The following is a 19,252-nucleotide window of genomic DNA, read 5'->3' on the forward strand; positions in this document are numbered from 1 at the left end:
CAAAGATAAGCAGGTTTTTTGTTTGTTTTTTGAGACAGGCTCTCACTCTGTTGTCCAGGCTGGATCACAGCTCACTGCAGCCTCAAACTCTTGGGCTCAAGAAATCCTCCCACCTCAGCCTTCTAAGGAGCTGGGACTACAGGAAGGCACCACTACACCTGGCTAATTTTTTGTATTTTTTGTAGAGATGGGGTTTCACCATATTGCTCAGGCTGGTCTCGAACTCTTGGACTCAAGTGATTTGCCTGCCTCAGCTTCCCTAAGTGCTGGGAGTACAGGCCACCTCACACGTGGCCGAGCACATGTTTTACCAGACAAATTTATCCAAGTCTCACCTAGATCAAACAAAGGGATGAATTACAGGATAATGTGCTAGCTGCTCTCAAATCCCACCATACTACAGCTATAGCAACCTACTTAAAATACAAAATTGATGATTTAATCCAGATAATTTTGGTTCCATGGCTTTCCATTCCCTACAGGAGGAATATTTCCAAAATTCTATTGTAACACAAGACCCTTTATGATTTGATCACCGCTTACTCCACTCCATCACAATTATTCTACCTATGCCAGCTTGGCACAAGACCTTGGGATTTCCCAATCAGGACCTGTTTTCTCATACAACGCCTTCCAACCTTTTTGGATCAGAAAATGCCAATTCAGCATTTAAAATCATAGCAAGCCTCATCCTCCTCTGTATCACTTTTCCTTAGCCAAGCCAGGCACTTCCTCTTCATTTGTCCCATTTTTATAAACTTTTATTCTATAACTGAATGTTTCATTTTCCACTTGTACATCTGTCTCCTTACTCTCTATACCTCCTGAACACAAAAATTTTAGTTTATTCTCATTTATATCTCCAAATCTTAAATTGTCTGATCAGAAGTAAACTAAAATAAAAATTAGGTTGTTTTCCTTTTAAGACTTTTCCTGAAACTAGGTTGATCAAAAAATACAAATGTTTTTCCATGATTATTCTCAGTAAGATTCAGTAATTCAGGCCAGGTGCAGTGGCTCAAGCCTGTAATCTCAGCATTTTGGGAGGCTGAGGCAGGTGGATCACGAGGTCAGGAGTTCAAGATTCAATAATTGGCAAGGTATAAGCTCCACTAGAGGAGAAAAAAAAGTATTATGCTAAAGATGGACTATTTGGGTTCCATTTTCACTCTCAGTTGTGCTACTAATTAAAATGAAAATGTAAACAAATCAATTAACATGATTATCCCAGACCTTTCTTTTCTTACTGGAAAAAAGAGGGCATTAAACTGGATGATGACAATAACACCATAACTACAAGCTTTTATAAAAGTCCTTTATATACAGTGTTAATACAGTGAAAGATCAACCTTATTGAAAGAGGTCTGGCTTCTGCCCTCAGCTACTGGGAAACAATCACTAGGCCTCTGGCATGTCTTGGCTGATACGAGTGTTTTTGTTCGTCTGGGGGCTTTGGCCACTGGACTATCTAAAAATGTGATTTACAATGGGAAGTACCCAGAAGAATTCCATAATGAAATGGGAATGGTCTGTGCAGGAAAATGCTACCAAAGGAACATATCATTATAATGAGCACATAGACCCTACTATATAACAGCACACAGTATGGCTTTGGGCCACAAAGTAATAGCTGTGACCTCCAGAGAAAGGAATAACTAAAGGTAATAGTTTGACATTCTGGAAGCAGCAGGAGACTAAAGGTCAGCCATGTGGGTGGTATGTGATCAAATCCCAATACAAACAATGATCACCAAAGGCTTTGCTGAGATTCCCTGTTTGACAATATTCTGTGAGTACTGTCATACACTGTGATTGAAATGAGCTAATGTTGTCTATGATACCACAGAGAGAGGGCAATCAGAAACTCTACATTTGGACTCCTCCTGGATTCTGCACCCTATGTCTCTCTTCCCTTGGCTGATTTTAATGTGTATCATTTCTACGTAACAAACTATAGCCATGAATATAATGAGTTCTGTGAGTTCTTCTAGCAAATTATCAAACCTGAGGTTGGTTTTGGAATCCCTCAAGCTTGCAGCAATGGTATCGGAAGTGGGCACAAGAATGACATTAACTTGCTGAAGCTGACTCACTGAATGAAGAGAAAGAATGAGGGATGACAAACCTTTGTTTCCTGGATGGTTACAAGGCCACTCATGGTATAAAACTATAGCTGTGCTATAATCATTTAATGGAGGTAAACATTACCAGTGGAATTTACAAATAATAGCTCCAACTACAGCTGTATTACAATCAATTAGTAGAAATAAAAGTTACCAGTGGGACTGAGAAATGATGGATCCAACTCCTGGGTGCCTGGGTCACTGGATACATAAGAAAATGTTACATAAACAATAAATAAAGTTACTATATAATCCCTTGATTATTGTTACCTGGAATAGCGAAACAGAAACGCAAATCCTAATGCTGGGCCAAGCCTGGTTTTTGGCCAGATCCAGTTATAGCCAGTAGTCACAGACCCACTGCCATATGTAAAAGTCTTACCAAAATAACAGGCAATAAAGATTCATAAGACAATGGAGAAAAAGAAAGAGGAGATTCAAGAGACTAGTCCCAGCTGGGTGTAAATCTTTAAACAGTTATTGAGAAATGGGATAAAATATTGAAGCCAAAACAAAGGTCACACTGCAGCACTCTCAGAGGTTGAGTGGACCAATGAGCCCCTGCTGGTCTCCTTCCATTAAAGAGCCCTAAACAAATCTGCTTTATTCACCCTAGTTTTTTTTTGTTTTTGTTTTTGTTTTGTTGTTGTTTGTTTTGAGATAGAGTTTCATTCTTATTGCCCAGGCTGGGGTGCAATGGCATATCAGTTCACCGCAACCTCCACCTTCCAGGTTCGAGCAATTCTCCTGCCTCAGCCTCCCGAGTAGCTAGGATTACAGGCATGCGCCACCATGCCTGGCTAATTTTGTACTTTTAGGAGAGATGGGGTTTCTCCATGTTGGTCGGGCTGGTCTCAAACTCTCAACCTCAGGTGATCTGCCAGCCTCGGCCTCCCAAAGTGCTGGGATTACAGGAGTGAGCTACTGTACCCGGCAATTCACCCTAGTTTGAGGAAACTTTAAAAACTGGAAGGCAAAAATGACTAAGAAAAATCTAACTTCAACTTGCCTAAGCCAATGCTTAGATAAGGCCTGAAGAGAAGACCTAGATTCCTTGCTAGTCCCTAGCTGGGGACCCAGAGTCAAATGCTTTTAAATGGATAAAATAGTTAAGCATAGAGATGTTTCCACGAGAGACCCATGCACAGAACTTACAAATCTGTTGGTGAAGTCCTAACAGGAGCTACAGTTATACTGGAAAGACATAACAACACAAGAGTTTATGGATCAAGGTAAAACTCTGGATTAAAATAAGAATGTCTGAATGTACTTTATGTACAGTAGTGTGTCTCCTTCACCTGAATGCATTATGGAGATATTTATTACGTCTGACTGGCGAATGTTTCCCCTACTTAAACAGAATACATATAAATCTTCCTATCAGGCAATATTTATAGGACATGCTAATTGAAAGCCAGTGAAAATGCCTGAGCCCATCCAAATTAATTTCAAATAGTACAGAATAGAAGCTGGGCAAATTCTTTATACAACAGTCCTGTGTGGAGCACAAGACTGGAGCTTATAGGAAAACCATCAGGATTCTGGACCCAAAAATTTCAATTTGAGGGACAACTAGTTTACTATTGGGCATTAACTGACACTGCTTCTCTGAATCTGAAAACCTGAAATATATATACTGTCCTGGGAAATGTTGGAGAAACATTCTCAGGGGAAAGCAGTACCCAGAAGAGTTCCATAATTAAATTGGAATGCTCTGTGCAGGAAAATGCTACCAAAGAAATACATCATATTCACGAACATGGAGACCTTACTATATAACAGCACATAGGGAAACCAGTCTTAGTACAAGCCTGTGAACTGAGACAAGGTAAGTAGCTTTGTTCTTAAATGACTTGGAACTCAGAAATAACTGAGTAAGGGCCCACTGTAACTATACCTATCCATGATAATATCCAGCATCCAGGTAAGGGTCAATTCTGCTGAGGCGGCATAGCAAATTCCTCTGCAATTCTTACTGATTTGTTCTGTAATAAAACAGCATCACGTTGTGACATAACACACTATGGCATAACAAGTGACACTGTTGCTAAGATTCATTTACCTTATGTAAATAAATCTTTTTTTGTTTTGTTTTGAGACAGAGTCTCGCTCAGCTGCCCTGGCCGGAGTGTAGTCTCATGATCTCAGCTCACTGCAACCTCCACCTCCCAGGTTCAAGCGATTTTCCTGCCTCAGCCTCCCAAGTAGCTGGGACTACAGTAGAGACAGGGTTTAGCCATGTTGGCCAGGCTGGTCTCGAACTCCTGACCTCAGGTGATCTGCCCACCCTCGCCTCCCAAAGTGCTGGGATTATAGGCATGAATCATCACGCCCAGCCCCTTATAGAAATCAATCTTATAATACTGATATTGATCATCTAATGTATCAGGAAATTTAGTTAAAGCCTCCTCAGGGTGTAATAATGATGGAAAATGAATAGCCTAAGGAAGAATTAGTTAACCATCAACTAATTTTTCTTCCTCTTTCTTTCTTTTCTTCTTTCCTTCCTTCCTTTTCTTCCTGTTTTCTTTCTCTTTCTCTCTCTCTTTTCTTCTCCTCTTCTCGTCTCACTCTGTTGCCCAGGAGTGCAATGATGCAATCTCGGCTCACTGCAACCTCTGCCTTCCAGGTTCAAGCAATTCTCGCCTCAGCCTCCCAAGCAGCTGGTATTATGGAAGTGCACCACCACACCTGGCTAATTTTTGTATTTTTAGCGGAGATGGGGTTTCACCATGTTGGCCAGGCTGGTCTCGAACTCCTAACCTCAAGTGATACCCCCCACCTCAGCCTCCCAAAGTGCTGGGATTACAGGCGTTTGCTACCGTGCCCAGCCCATCAACTAATTTCTATGCCAATAGTCCTGCATGAATTTTTCATAAGATACAAAAATAGTGGTAAATCCGGGGGAAAATGAGTAATTAAATTAGTACAAGAAAATGATGTACATAATGGCTTTATAAATTAGATTGACTGTTTATTTAAATGTACACCTATTCAACACTGGCTCCTCCCAATATTAGGCATATTCAAAAAGTTACTACTGCAATGTCTGTCATATAAAACCTAAATGTAGACGTTCAAATATATTCATTTTGCTTTAAGAGTGTAGGCCAAAGGCTAGGGCATAGCCTATACACCAAAGAAGAAAAAGATGCCTGGGCTTCCACCTTGGCAACTGAGAGATGATCTCCAGGGCTCTAGAATATCTTGCTTCTTAGGAGTACCTGCTTGATAGGAGTGTTTTTGTTTGCCTGGAGGCTTTGGCCACTGGACAGTTTAACAATGTGATTTACAATGGGGGCTTTCGACATTCCAGTATCAATTCTGACCTCCAGAAGAAGTGAGAACTAAAGTTATTAGTCTGACCTCCCAGAGGCCAAAGCTACACCTTTCAGCTAGTATGTGATTTTGAGCCCCAGTAAAACTGGAAAATCAAAGACTCAGATGAGTTTCTTCACTGACGAAACTCACATACTGTGGACATAAAAAGATAATGCTGGACATGACTGCACAGGGAGAAGAGTCTGGACTCTACCCTAAACATCTCTTCCCCTGGCTGATTTTAATTCGTATACTTTCTCTGCAATAAACTGTAGGCATGAATGTAACAGCTCTCAATGAGTTATATCAATCTTCCAGTGATTTATCAACCCTGTGGATGGTTTTGGGAATGCCTCAAACTTGAAACTAGTGCCAGAAGTGAGGGTGTTCTTACAGAGGTTTCTCTCAAAGTGTACACCTATCTAAACTCACTGCAGTGCTATACTGAAGTTTTATTTATATACTGTCTTGCTTGATCTTCACTACTCTGTGTGGTAGATATTACTATTATGAACACAGTGAGACATACAGAGTATAAATGACATTAACAGTAAATGGAAGAATCAGGATTTGAACCAAGAAATATGCCACAAAGTCTATGTCCTTAACATATTATGCTACCTTCCTTGATAACTGCTATTTTCCCCCCAATTCTAACGTTCAAGCCATGCAAATCTAGAAGTAAACAAGAAATTCAGACAGACTTAAAACAAGCCTTAAATAATCTTCATTATATTTTACTTTGTTATGGTTTAAGCTGTCATTTTTATTAAGTGTTAATTCTTTGTATATTAAGGACAGTTTTTTAAATGCTGCAATAGCAAAACACAAATAATACCTATCAAAGTATATTAACAGAAACATAAAACAAGTTTACTAAAATAACTCATTTGAAGAAGACTACCTCCAAAATATAAAATACTGAATAACATCATTATATGAAATTTCCAATTTGCTAGGAAATAATAGTTGTTTTTTAGGGAAAAGACAATTTTGGTCAGGCAAAATTCTGCCATAATATAAAATAATGATCTCCATTACTTTATAATATATATATTTTCCGTTGAGACAGGGTCTTGCTCCATTGCCCAGGCTGGAGTGCAATGGCATAATCATAGCTCACCATAGCCTTGTACTCCTGGAGTCAAGCAATCCTCCCACCTCAACCTCCTGAGTAGCTGGGACTACAAGGCTTGCGCCACTACAATAGGCTAATTTTTTTTTTTTTTTGGTAGGGATGAGGGTATAGCTATGCTGCCCTGGCTGGTCTTGAACTCCTGGACTCAAGCAATTCTCCCGCCTCAACCTCCCAAAGTGCTGGGATTATAGGCATGAGCCACTGTCCCTGGTCTATAAGACTTTTTAAATACATAATTCTAGTGCTGATGTAATTAATTTTTTTTACTTAAATTTTCTCTACATTTTCCTAAAGTATGTACAATTATCACTTTTAAAGCTGCATAATATGCCAAAATATTAATTTAACAGCATTCACAAATTGTTGAACATCAAGGTTGTTCCATTTTTCTTTTCCTCTTTAATAAGACTGCAATAAACATCTTTCTTCTAATAACATTAAACCTTTCATTTTTTTAATCTGCAGCTCCCACCACAGTGTCTAATTCGTATGAGGTACGTGACAAACATTAGCTAAACTGAATACACTTTTTAAAAACTGTTTTTCAAGCATCGTTTCCTAAGACTAGAATTAATGAATCAAAGAGTATGAACTTCTTATGGTTCTTATAACATAATACTTTCCAAAAGAATAATGTCATTTTATAATCCACAAGATATGAGTGTGTGAACTCGTTCATTGCAATACATGCCAGTATTAGAGTTTATCATTTAAAAAGCTTAATATTTTATTATGTATAATTTGATCTCTTAAAGTGCTTTACCTTGTAGAGAAATAACAATCCTGAAGTTATATTGTCATTACTTCCATTTCATTATTTAACAAAGTACAAAAAGACATGCAACTGTTTATTCTAATTGTGGAAATTCAATTATAAATATGTAAAAACTCTTTAAATGAACATACTCCAAAGTTTATTTCTGACTTGGAAGGTGGCATATTTTCACATTTTAGTAAAATTTGCTTGAGGCCATAATCTAAACCAACTTTGATAACTGCTGGATATAAAGGTAATCTTGTCCCAAAGAGCAGTGAACTCTATTCTCCTTTGAGGGGGTTTCTTTTGGAACAGATAGTAAGTAAAAAGCACTCTAAGAGAATATTTTAAAATAAATAAATTGCTAAGAGTTTACGTGTTTATGATGTCATCACAATTCCTGGTTGAACCAGAATTGCCTATCTATGAAGGAAAAGCTACATTGAGAAAAAGTAGTCTGAGTTTCCTAAAACTCAATTCAGAAATTCAAGTAAATTATCAAAGATTTGAATATTTAAGTCAATTGTGAGGACTTCTGTTTCTTCCTTTAACATCTTTAAAATAACGCATTTCAGGTAATTTTACATTTTTCCCCTTGGTGATTTCAGGAATCAAATTTGTACCTGATGAGAATTGGCATTATAAGCTTTTTAGTATTTTTTATTATATATTGACATGTTTAAAATTGGTAACTCACAGTTTTACCACAATTGGGTGATTCTGCTTTCCTGTCCTTTGATATTATCATATGTTAATAGTCAGAAAACTTGTGATAACTCCCAGTAGGGTTCTTTTTCACTAGCTGGGTTGCAGCACATTCATCACTTTAAAATAAGAATTTACTTTCTGAGATGGGTAAAGCACTGTGCTAGACTCCAAGGAACCATACATAGATGACTAAGACATGACTCCTGTCCTCAAAGAACTTACAATCTATTAAGGGAAGACAGACATGCAAACAAATAGGTATAATACAAAGCAGAATGTGCTGATTGTTAAAACAGAGGTACAAAACAAAGTTCTATAGGAGCACAGGATGGTTATATAGGAGCACTGGTTGGGGTGATCTGGAAGGCTGGGCCAGCGGAAAAGTAGTAGAAAACTCTGCCCCTTAGAAAACACAGCAGTGTTACAGCCCACCTGGGTTAGGGTCGAAGCCCCACTCCCCACAGAAGGTTTTCCTAAAGGAGATGGAGCCAGGGCCCTAACCCAGTTAGGTAGGTGATTCGTTGATTTCAATTATGAATGCCAACACTTTCTTTCCCTGGTGCCGATAAATGTGCTTTCACAAGTATTTTACTTTATTAAAAAGTAAATAAAATTTAACAATCTATTAAGTAACTTACATGAAGACGCAAGTTACCTCAGCCTACAGCATTAGAATGGCCTCAAGTGGTACTCTGATTGTACAGGACCAAGCAAAAAAAGACACCACTTCAGCATCTTACATGTGGTGCTCCCATAAATGTTTTGCTACTGATATCCTAGAAAGAAAGAGGAACCAGACAATTCCAGAGAAGGAGCCTGGGTATTATACTATTCATATTTTGCTGAAGATGCAATTATGTTAAGTTTTAAAAAATATACTTTAAAATATGTTAATGAGACAACAGGATTTGTTTTTGTCTTGTCATGATCTCAAGAAACAGCAGGTACACTGCCAGTTTCCACTAATTTCTAGGTATAAGAGGTAGACAAGATAACGTAACTGATATGTAATATTAAACAAGTACCACACGAGGAGTGAAACAACTAGAAAGAAGATAATAAATACAAACATGTTTAAATACAAAAGAACATAAAGCAAGTATCATGTGCACAGAAATAGAAACATTAAATTTGTAGAAAATTAAAGACAAAGTATTAGTTTCTACTGTTTCATTCTATTGCCATCTCATATACAGATCCCTCAAATTTCTCAAATCTGTAGATATAGTATTTCATTACGCTGTAGGAATTTTAAAACGCTTAACTTTATAATTGCTGTTTATAGACATCCTTAAAGAAGCCAAATTTTAATGAACAAAAAAGGAAACAATAAAATCTCAGTCATATCAACTGTATATAAATGTTTGCAAAATGCTTATGAAACTTAAATTGACTATTTTCTTAATTATTACAAACAAGCATTCTCACTTCACTTGTTTATTAATTTTTACAATCTCCTAAAACAAAAGAAAAAAGGAAGGAAGGCAAGCACACATAACCTGACTACTGGAATTAATGACAATATCCCATTGCATAGACTTTAAAATAAACATACAATTCAAAAAGACTTACTATCAAACAACTGGCTAAGCAAACTATGAAATATGACAAAAAGGTTATAATATCTGTAATAATATAAAGAAAGCTCATAACAAATATAAAAAACTCAAAACCCTAATAAGTACTAAATAACAATTCACTAAAAATACAAGTTGCTCATAAACATGAAAAAAATTCACCCTATTAAAGGAATGCAAATTGAAACAACGAAATATTATTTTCAAATATCCAATTAGCAGAGAAAGAGTAACATTCAATGCTGCATCCCCTTAGGATGTAAAACTCCTCCTGTTTTGGCCAAATATTTGTGTTTTAAAACAAGATAAACTGCAAATAAATAATTAATGCTTACAAGGGTGTGATGAGTGAGATAAAAACACCCCAACACTGACTGAGGACAATGGCAGTCAGTACAACCTTTACACAATTTGTGAAGAGTGTCAGGAGATAGATTTTTGTGGCTTTCAAGTTCATACCCTGTGATTATTAATTCTACTACTATGAATATACATTTTAAAAAATCAGAGATGCAGACAAAGGCTTGCAATGGTATTTATCCCAGTTGCTTATAATGCTCCCTAGAACTGGAAACTACAATGTCAAACATTAAGGAAATGGGTCATTATAAGATTAAATATTATGCAGCCATTAAAAATGATCCTAAATTACTACTCATGAAGAGAAATGTAGAGGATAGATGTTAGGCAAAAAAGCAGGATCTACAATTTTAATGCAGTGTTAGCTAAAACTATGTTTAAAAGAAGGCAGAGATTTTGTACTTGCTAATTTGCCAAATTCATTTATTAGTTCCAGTAGGCTTTGTTGTGAAGTCTTTATGGTTTTCTAAGTATAAGATTATATCATCTGTGAACAGACACAATTTTACTTCTTTCTTTCCAATTTAAATGCTATTTGTCTTTTTCTGGTCTAATTTCTGGACTATAACTTCAAATACTATGTTGAGTGGACATGGCAAAAGCAGGGATCCCTTGTCTTATTCTTGATCTTAGAGGAAAAGCTTTCAGTCTTTCACCATTGACTAGGATATTACCTAAGCAACAGGATATGAAATCAACACATAAAAATTGGCTTTTTTTTTTTTTTTTTTTTTGAGGCAAGGTCTTGGTTTGTCACCCAGGCTGGAGTGCCCTGGTGCAATCATAGCTCACTGCAGCCTTGAATTTCTGGGCTCAAGGGATCCTCCCACCTCAGCTTCCCAAGTAGCTAGGACTACAGGCTCACGCTGACTAGTTTCTATATAACAATAATGAATAATTTGAAAATGAAATTAACAAATAATTCCATTTGCAAGAGCATCAAAAAAGAATAAATTACCTAGAAGATGAAATAAACAAAACTACAAAACATAACTGAGCAAAATTAAAGAAAACATAAGTAAAAAGACACCCCTGTTCAAAGACTAGAAGACTTAATATTTACACGTGTGTGTGTGTGTGTGTGTGTGTGTAGTTTTAGAGACAGGGTCTCACTCTGTCACCCAGGCTTGAGTGCAATGACACAATCATGGCTCACTGCAGCCATGAACTCCTGGGCTTATGCAATCCTTCAGACTTAGCCTCTCAAGTAGCTGAGACTATAGGCGTGAGCCACCACACTCGGCTTATTTTATTTTATTTTTTTTGCAGAGAAGGGGGCTCGCTGCATTGTTCAGCCTGGTGTTGAGCTCCTGGCCTCAAGCAATCCTCTCGCCTTAGCCTCCCAAAGAGCTGGGATACAGCACCCAGCCCTTAATATTAAGATGTCTACCACCCAGATCCATCTACAGATTCAATTCAATCCCTATCAAAATCCAAGTGACCTTTTTCTGGAGAAAAAGAAAAATCTCTCCTGAAATTCATACAGAATCTCAAGGGACCCTGAATAACCAAAACTATCCTGAGAAAGAAGAAAGTTGACGGAAAAACATTTCCTGATTTCACAATGTACTACAAAGCAACAGTAATCAAAACAGTGAGCTGGTATCAGCATAAGAACATACAGACCAATGGAATGGAATAGAAAGCCCAGAAACAAACCCTTGCATATACAGTCAAAATATTTTCTGTAACAGTGTCAAGACCATTCACTGGGGCAAAGGCAGTCTTTCCAACAAATGGTGCTGGAAAAAGTGGACATCTACACGTAAAAAAAAGCTGGACCCTTACATGATATTCCAAACTTAAAATCAATTAATTCACCAAAATTTGTGATCTAAAACTATACAACTTTTAGAAGAAAACATAAGGGGAAAAGCTTCATGACATGGATTTGGCAATTTTTTTTTAATACAACAACAAAGGCATAAGCAACAAGCGGAAACAGACAAGTTGGGCTTCATCAAAATTTAAAACTTTTGTGCAGCACGGGCCACTGCTAACACAGTAAAAAGGCAACCTGTAAAATGAAAGAAAATGTTACCAAATCATGTATCTAAAAGGGGATTAATATCAAGAATACATAGAGAAATCCTAAAACTTAACACCAAAAAAAACAAATGATCCAATTCAAAAACAGGCAAAGAACTTTATGAATAGATATTTCTCAAAAGACATACAAATGGCCAAGAAGCACATGAAAAGATGCTCAACATCACATTAAGCATTAGAAAAATATAAAACAAAACCACAATGACATGCCATTTCACACCTACTGAGAAAGTAAATACCAAAAAAATGAAAGTAAATGTTGGTGAGGATGTAAAGAAACTGGAACCCTTACACAATGCTGGTGGAAATGAAAAATGGTGCAGCCACTTGGAAAACAGTATGAAAGTGCCTCAAAAAATTAAAAATGCAATTACCATCTGATCCAGCAATTCTACTCCTGGGTATATACCCAAATAGTTGAACACAGAGGCTTGGGCAGATATTTATACAGCCATGTTCATACCAGTATTATTCCCTATAGCCAAAAGCTGGAAGTGACACAACTGTCCATTAATGGGCAAATGGATGAAAAGAACGTGGTGTATAAACACAATGGAATGTTATTTTGCAATAAAAAGGAAGAAAATTGTGACACATGGTTTAACATGCATGAACCCTGAAGACATTGTCAGTGAAATGAGCCCGTTACAAAAGGACAAATACTGTATAATTACATTCATATGAGATACTCAGAGACCGAAAGTAGAATGGTGGGCCAGGAAGACGGGGGAATAAGGAACTGCTCTTTAATGAGTACAGTTTCAGTTTTGCAAGACAGAAAATGTTCTGTGTTTGGATGACAATAGTGGTAACACACAACACGAATGTACTTACTACCAATGACCCGTGTACTCAAAAACAGTTAAAATGGCAAATTTTATGTTAAGTACATTTTACCACAATTAAAAATTTTTATTAAAAAATTTAGCAGAGGGCCGGGCATGGTGACTCATGCCTGTAATCCCAGCACTTTGGGAGGCTGAGGCAGGCAGATCACAAGGTCATGAGTTCAAGACCTGCCTGGCCAATATGTTGAAAAACCCTGTCTCTACTAAAAATATGAAAATTAGCCGGGCATGATGGCAGGCACCTGTAGTCCCAGCTACTCGAGAGGCTGAGGCAGGAGAATTGCTTGAACCCGGGAGGCAGAGGTTGCAGTGAGACGAGATTGCACCACTGCACTCCAGCCTGGGCGACAGAGCAAGACTCCGTCTCAAAAAAAAAAATTTAGCTAGGCATAGTGGCACACATCTGTAGTCCTAGCTACTGGGGAGGCCAAGGTGGGAGGATCTTTTTTGAGCCCAGGAGTTCAAGGCTGCAGTGAGCTGTGATCACACCACTGCACTCCAGCCTGTGTGGAAAAGTGAGATCTTGTCTAAATAAATAAAATAAATAGTATGGCAAAAAAAAAAAAGGAACCAGAGCAATATGTTTCATAAGAAAATATATCAAAAATTATATATATTAGTATATATATAATATATATGAGTTATCTCTTAGTAATAGGACTAAAAAGATAATCCTCTATTACTTTCATACCACAGTGTTTTCCAAATTTTTCATCACTTTTTCTTTTGTATATGATAAAGTTAAAAAGAAAAGGTTGGTGATTGTTTAAGTAGGCCTAATTTCAAGGCTAAGAGGTTTTCAACAGAAACAACTTTGTAAAATTATGACAAAATTATCATTAAACAGTATTTTCCAATAAAAATTCTCTCTAAAATCAGTATTTTATGAATACAACAGAAATTCATCTCAATCTTAATTGCCTTTAAGAAAGGGCAAAAATTGGCTGGGCACGGTGGCTCAGACCTGTAATCCCAGCACTTTGGAGGGCCGAGGCGGGTGGATCACGAGGTCAGGAGATCGAGACCATCCTGGCTAACACGGTGAAACCCAGTCTCTACTGAAAATACAAAAAAATTAACCGGGCGTGGTGGCAGGCGCCTGTAGTCCCAGCTACTCCGGAGGCTGAGGCAGGAGAACTGCGTGAACCCGGGAGGCAGAGCTTGCAGTGAGCCGAGATCATGCCACTGCACTCCAGCCTGGGCAACAGAGTGAGACTCCATCTCAAAAAAACAAAAAGGCAAAGATTTTTCTAAAGCTTTATTAATTTTTTAACTCTGATACTGATGTATAGTTTTTCATATTATTGATGCTACTGCTTCGTGCTTTTGAGAATTCTCATATAAAATTCACCTATACATCTAATTATTCATAATTTCTCATAAATTGTATCCAGTTTTTGGGTTAAGGTCTATAAAATTAAAATCATGCTTTTGGGTTAAGGTCTATAAAAGTTTAAAATGGTTTAAACTTTTTATATGAACAATTCAACATACTCATTAAATATTTTTTAAAACCTACTATGGATAAAATTATCTTCTTTAGTTTGCTATGCAAAATTTTCTATTGAAACTGCAGGTCACAGACAGATATTATTTTCATCTTTCAATATTATATTTTGTTTTTAAAAATGCCACTGATTCCATTCACTCTCTTCCCTCCCTTCCTATCCTGTCTTTTTATTCATATCTCCACTGACTTCTTAAAAAAGAATAATCAAATAAACAGATCTATTAAATTTCTATTCTATACAGAAAAGCATCAGGATTAACTAAAATAGAAAATTTATATGCATTAAAATTATTAGCAAGCAGAAGCTATCCTTGTAATTAGTTAATTTGCAGGCTTAAAAAATTGAAAGGAACTACCCTAACTCATTAGTTATATCAAATACCTGCAATAATGTTTCAGCAGCTTTTAATATATTTCTTTGATAGTAACATAAGAAGAAAACTTTACAAATATTGCAAATTTGTTATATGCTAGATGTTTTGCCAGAAAACAGCAATAACAATAGTTAAATGAATGTGGCTCTTTTCCTAATACAATTTAATGACCTTGTTTACTTCCTGTTTCTTTTCTTAAATAAAACTCTTCAAAGTACCAGAGAATTTACTGAAAATTATTATATTTTCTTAAATGAAACATGTCCTGATAAGTAATTTAATCCATTACCTGAATAATTACACATTAAACATCTATCACCCACAATGATTTACTGATTAACAAACCAAGAAGAATTACTCGTTATTAAATGTTTTAATACAAAGTATGTTCCATCTCCCACTTAACAAAGTTTCATTCAGCAAAGTTGTTCCACGTGGCATACAGTCAACTATCTCTCAGGTCCCTTTAATCCAATTTATATTTTAATTTGATAGAATAAACTTATTCATTAACTACATACGCTGACAGAATACTAACAAAGAGACACCTAAAGTTGTTTTAACAAAATGAAGGCAGTGTTTTAAAATCTCTGCCAGATTCATCAGAGACTCTTCAAAAATATTAATTTATAAATCAGTAAGATGAATCTAAACTTCTATTTAATTCTTAGTCTTAAATTTTCATTTATTCTTTTTTTTTTTGTTAAGAGATGGGGTCTCACTCTGTTACTCAAGCTGGAGTGCAGCAGTGTGACAGTAACTCACATTGACTTGGATTCTTGGGCTCACGTGATCCTCCCACCTCAGCCTCCCAAGTAGCTGGGACCACAGGTATGTGCCACCACATCCAGCTATTTTTTTTTTTTTTTTTTGGTAGAGATGGGGTCTCGCTTTTTTGCCCAGGCTGATCTCCAACTCCTGGCTTCAAGCAATTGTCCTGCTTCAGCCTCTCAAAGTGCTAGTTTTACAGGTGTCAGTCACCAAACCTGGCCTTTGTTTTGTTGTTGTTGTTCTTTGTTTTAAACGAACAAATGAAAATGCTTAATGAAACAGGAATAGATCTTACCAATGCAGGCCACTGAATCTGTTTGCTCTTTGATCCCTGAGTCTGGCTAGGGTCATTCCTTTTGGCCCAGATTAAGTGGTATTCCACCAAGAAAGTTGAAAAATCTTCATAAACTTTAACCCACTCTCGTTTATCCCATTCAAGATCATCAAATTCCACATACACCTATGAAAACAAAAACACAAAATTCAATTAGCAAAATAGAAGAGTGGTATATCTTTTTTTACTAATGCATAATAATTGTACATATTTATGGGGTACATATGATATCGTGATACATGCACACAATGTGTAATGATCAAATCAGGGTAATTAGAATATCCATCACCTCAAATATTTATCATTTGTGTTAGAAACATTTCAAATCCTCTTCTAGCTATTTTGAAAAATACAATAAATTATTGCTAACTATGGTTACCATACTGTGCTATCGAACACTAGCACTTACTCCTTCTATCTAATTGTAGGAAGCAGAAAGGGGAACTCTAGTACACTGTTGGTGGGAATGTAAATTAGTACCTCCAGTATGGAAAACAGTATGGAGGTTCCTCAAAACACTATAAGTAGATCTATCATAGGATCTGGTAATCCCACTGCTGGGTAAATGTCCAAAAGAAAGGAAGGTATATTGAAGAGACAGCTGCACATCAGTGTTTATTGCAACACTATTCCTAAGAGCCACGATAATGAAATCAACCTAAGTATCTGTCAACATATGAATGGGTAAAGAAAATGTGGTATATATACACAATAGAATACAATTAGGCCATAAAAAAGAATGAAATCTTGTCTTTTGCAGCAGTATGAATAGAACTGGAGGTGATTATGTTATATGAAGTAAGCCAGGTACAAAAGACAGATATCACATGTTCACACTCATATGTGGGAGTCAAAAACATGGATCTTGACCCAGCATGGTGGCTCATGCCTGTAATGCCAGCACTTTGGGAGGAGGAGATGGGAGGATCACTTGAGCCCAGGACTTCAAGATCAGCCTTGGCAACATAGTGAGACTCTGACTCTCACAAAAGAGAAAAGTAAAAAACTTAGCTGGACATGGTGGCACATGCCTTTAGTCCCAGCTACTCAGGAAGCTAAGACAGGAGGATCACTTGAGCCCAGGAATTTGAGGCTACAGTGAGCTATGATAGCTACAGTGAGCTATGATCGCACCACTGCACTGCAGCCCAGGTGACAGAATGAGACTCTGTCTATTCAAAAAACAAACAAAAAGTGGATCTCATGGAGGTAGAGGGTAGAATGATGGTTATCAGAGACTAGGATGGGTGAAGGGGGGAGAAGAAAAGAGGTTGGTTAATGAGTATAACAATATTTCAAAATATAAGCCATGAACTTGAATTAGAAAGGACATTAACAAATTCATTCTTTAACTTAACATTTTTCATAAAACCATCATTTAACTTCCCTTAATCAGATTATACCCCTTAGTTATGACAGGGAGATAAACCATAACTATATCAAGTAAAGCAATTTACAGAGTGTTGATCAGTAAAGATTAGCCCATTATCTTCTAAATGTACACTAAATAATGATGTCTGTACTGATGACTCTAGAAGGAGAGGTTAGAAAATGTTTTTAAAGAGTAAATAGTAGCCATACGCGATGGCTCATGCCTGTAATTCCAGCACTTTGGGAAGCTAAGGCGGGTGGATCACCTGAGGTCAGGAGTTCGAGACCATCCTGGCCACAGAGTGAAACACCATCTCTACCAAAAATACAAAAATTAGCTGGGTGTGGTGGCGGGTGCCTGTAGTCCCAGCTACTCAGGAAGCTGAGGCAGGAGAATGGCTTGAATCCAGGAGGCGGAGGTTGCAGTGAGCCAAGATCAGGCCACTGCACACCAGCCTGGGTGATAAGAGCAAAACTCCGTCACACACACACAGAAGAGAGTAAATAGTAAATACTTCATATTTTGCAAACCAGATGGTTTCTGTCATAATTGTTTCCTTCTGTCTCTGTCACAGACAGAGACAACCACAGACAATATGTAAACAATTGAGCTTGACTTTATGCTAATAAAACATTACTTACAAAGGTAGTCAATGGTACAAAGATGGCTCAACATATGACGTTCAATTAATGTAATATACATTAACAGAATAAAGGAAAAAAATCATCTTTAATGATGCAGAAAAAGCATCTGACCAAATTCCATGGCTTTTCATGATTAAAAACATGCAACAAACTAGGAACAGGATGAAAATATCTAAATATAAAAAGGTCTATATGAAAAACCCACTGCTAACATCATACACAACAGTAAAAAATCAAAAGCATTTCCTTTAAGATGGGAACAAGACAAGGATGTTATAATTTGGAAAACTGAAGCTGACTCTATGCTCATAGGACATTCAATCATTCAACCCTTCGCTCCCCTACTTTCATTCTTTTGCGCTGGAAGCAGTCTTCTCATCACTTATATTTTTATCCTAATTCTGCCACCCATCTTCTGCTCCCTTACACCTGAAGAGTTTCCATTTCCACTTATTTGAATCATGGTTGCTCTTTTGGCCTAGCTCAAGTTCTTCCATGATGTTTACATCCCCCAACTTCAACTCCAACTTAGCTTTGAATTTCTACTGCAATTACTTTTTTTATAGCTTACACTGTATTAGTATATAAGCAAATACCGTCCTATATTTTTAAGTGTAATAAAAGTATCTTTAAATTATGCATGTAAACTCACTTAAGGTAGAACTGTTCTTTCATTTATTTTTAGTGCTCACTACAGTGCTGCATACATATAAAGTTTTTAATTAACATTAAAAATCTCCTGACTCTTAGACTCAATCATGGTCTTTAAAAAATAAAAGCAACCTGGTAAAAGGTTAAGTTTGATTTGGTGGTGTTTATACTGCTGCCCACTAGGAAGCTTCTTTAAAAAAAAAAAAAAAAGCTTATCTATTAGAATATCCACTAAAGATATTCATTAAAGCTTATCTATTAGAATGAGGAAAGAGAAATGCACTGGTCAAGGAGTTAACATCTGTTTCTAGTTAACTATCCATACCAAGTCAAGGAAGAAATCCAAGTCAAGGAAGAAGCCAACAAAACAGCTGGCTATTTCTAATAAAACCCATCGTTAAGGGTACCTCCTTGCCTGTAATCCCACCACTTTGGGAGACACAGGTGGGAGGATCACTTAAACTCAGGAGTTCAAGACCAGCTTAGGCAACACAGTAAGACCTTGTCTCTACAAAAAATGAAAAAAATTAGCCAGGCATGGTGGCATGTGCCTATGGTCCCAGAGACTCGGGAGGCTAAAATGGGAGGGTTGCTTCAGCCAGGGAGGTTGAGGCTGCAATGAGCCATGATCACACCACTGCACTGCAGCCTACGTGACAGAGCAAGACCCAGTCTCAAAAAATAAAAATCAAAAACAATGTACACACTTTAACTT

At 37.0% G+C, this 19,252-nt stretch overlaps 1 protein-coding gene and 1 non-coding gene across 12 annotated transcripts in view, besides 1 other annotated feature; both read right to left on the minus strand.

The window, feature by feature from the left end:
- Positions 1-19,252, minus strand: part of JMJD1C (jumonji domain containing 1C) — a 354,666-nt gene that overhangs the window by 197,262 nt on the left and 138,152 nt on the right. For all 11 annotated transcript variants that reach the window (XM_017015897.2, NM_001322258.2, NM_001318154.2 and 8 more), the window contains one exon: positions 15,832-15,996. Coding sequence is in view for 3 of the 11 variants with exons in the window: in NM_001322252.2 (NP_001309181.1) it covers positions 15,832-15,996 (165 nt within the window). In the remaining 8 variants the exon portion in view is untranslated. The remainder of the gene's footprint in view (positions 1-15,831; positions 15,997-19,252) is intronic.
- Positions 1,420-1,921: an enhancer, noted in NCBI's record as "NANOG hESC enhancer chr10:65125666-65126167 (GRCh37/hg19 assembly coordinates)". NCBI's record gives its function as "activates a minimal SCP1, AML or CMV promoter by ChIP-STARR-seq in naive H9 embryonic stem cells {active_cell/tissue: H9 hESC(naive)}" and the evidence as "EXISTENCE:reporter gene assay evidence [ECO:0000049][PMID:30033119]".
- MIR1296 (microRNA 1296) lies at positions 8,471-8,562 on the minus strand. The gene has a single exon (NR_031566.1). It is a non-coding gene; the product is annotated as a microRNA 1296 (primary transcript).

This window comes from Homo sapiens, chromosome 10, assembly GCF_000001405.40.
Source record: "Homo sapiens chromosome 10, GRCh38.p14 Primary Assembly".
Classification (NCBI taxonomy): Eukaryota; Metazoa; Chordata; class Mammalia; order Primates; family Hominidae; genus Homo; species Homo sapiens.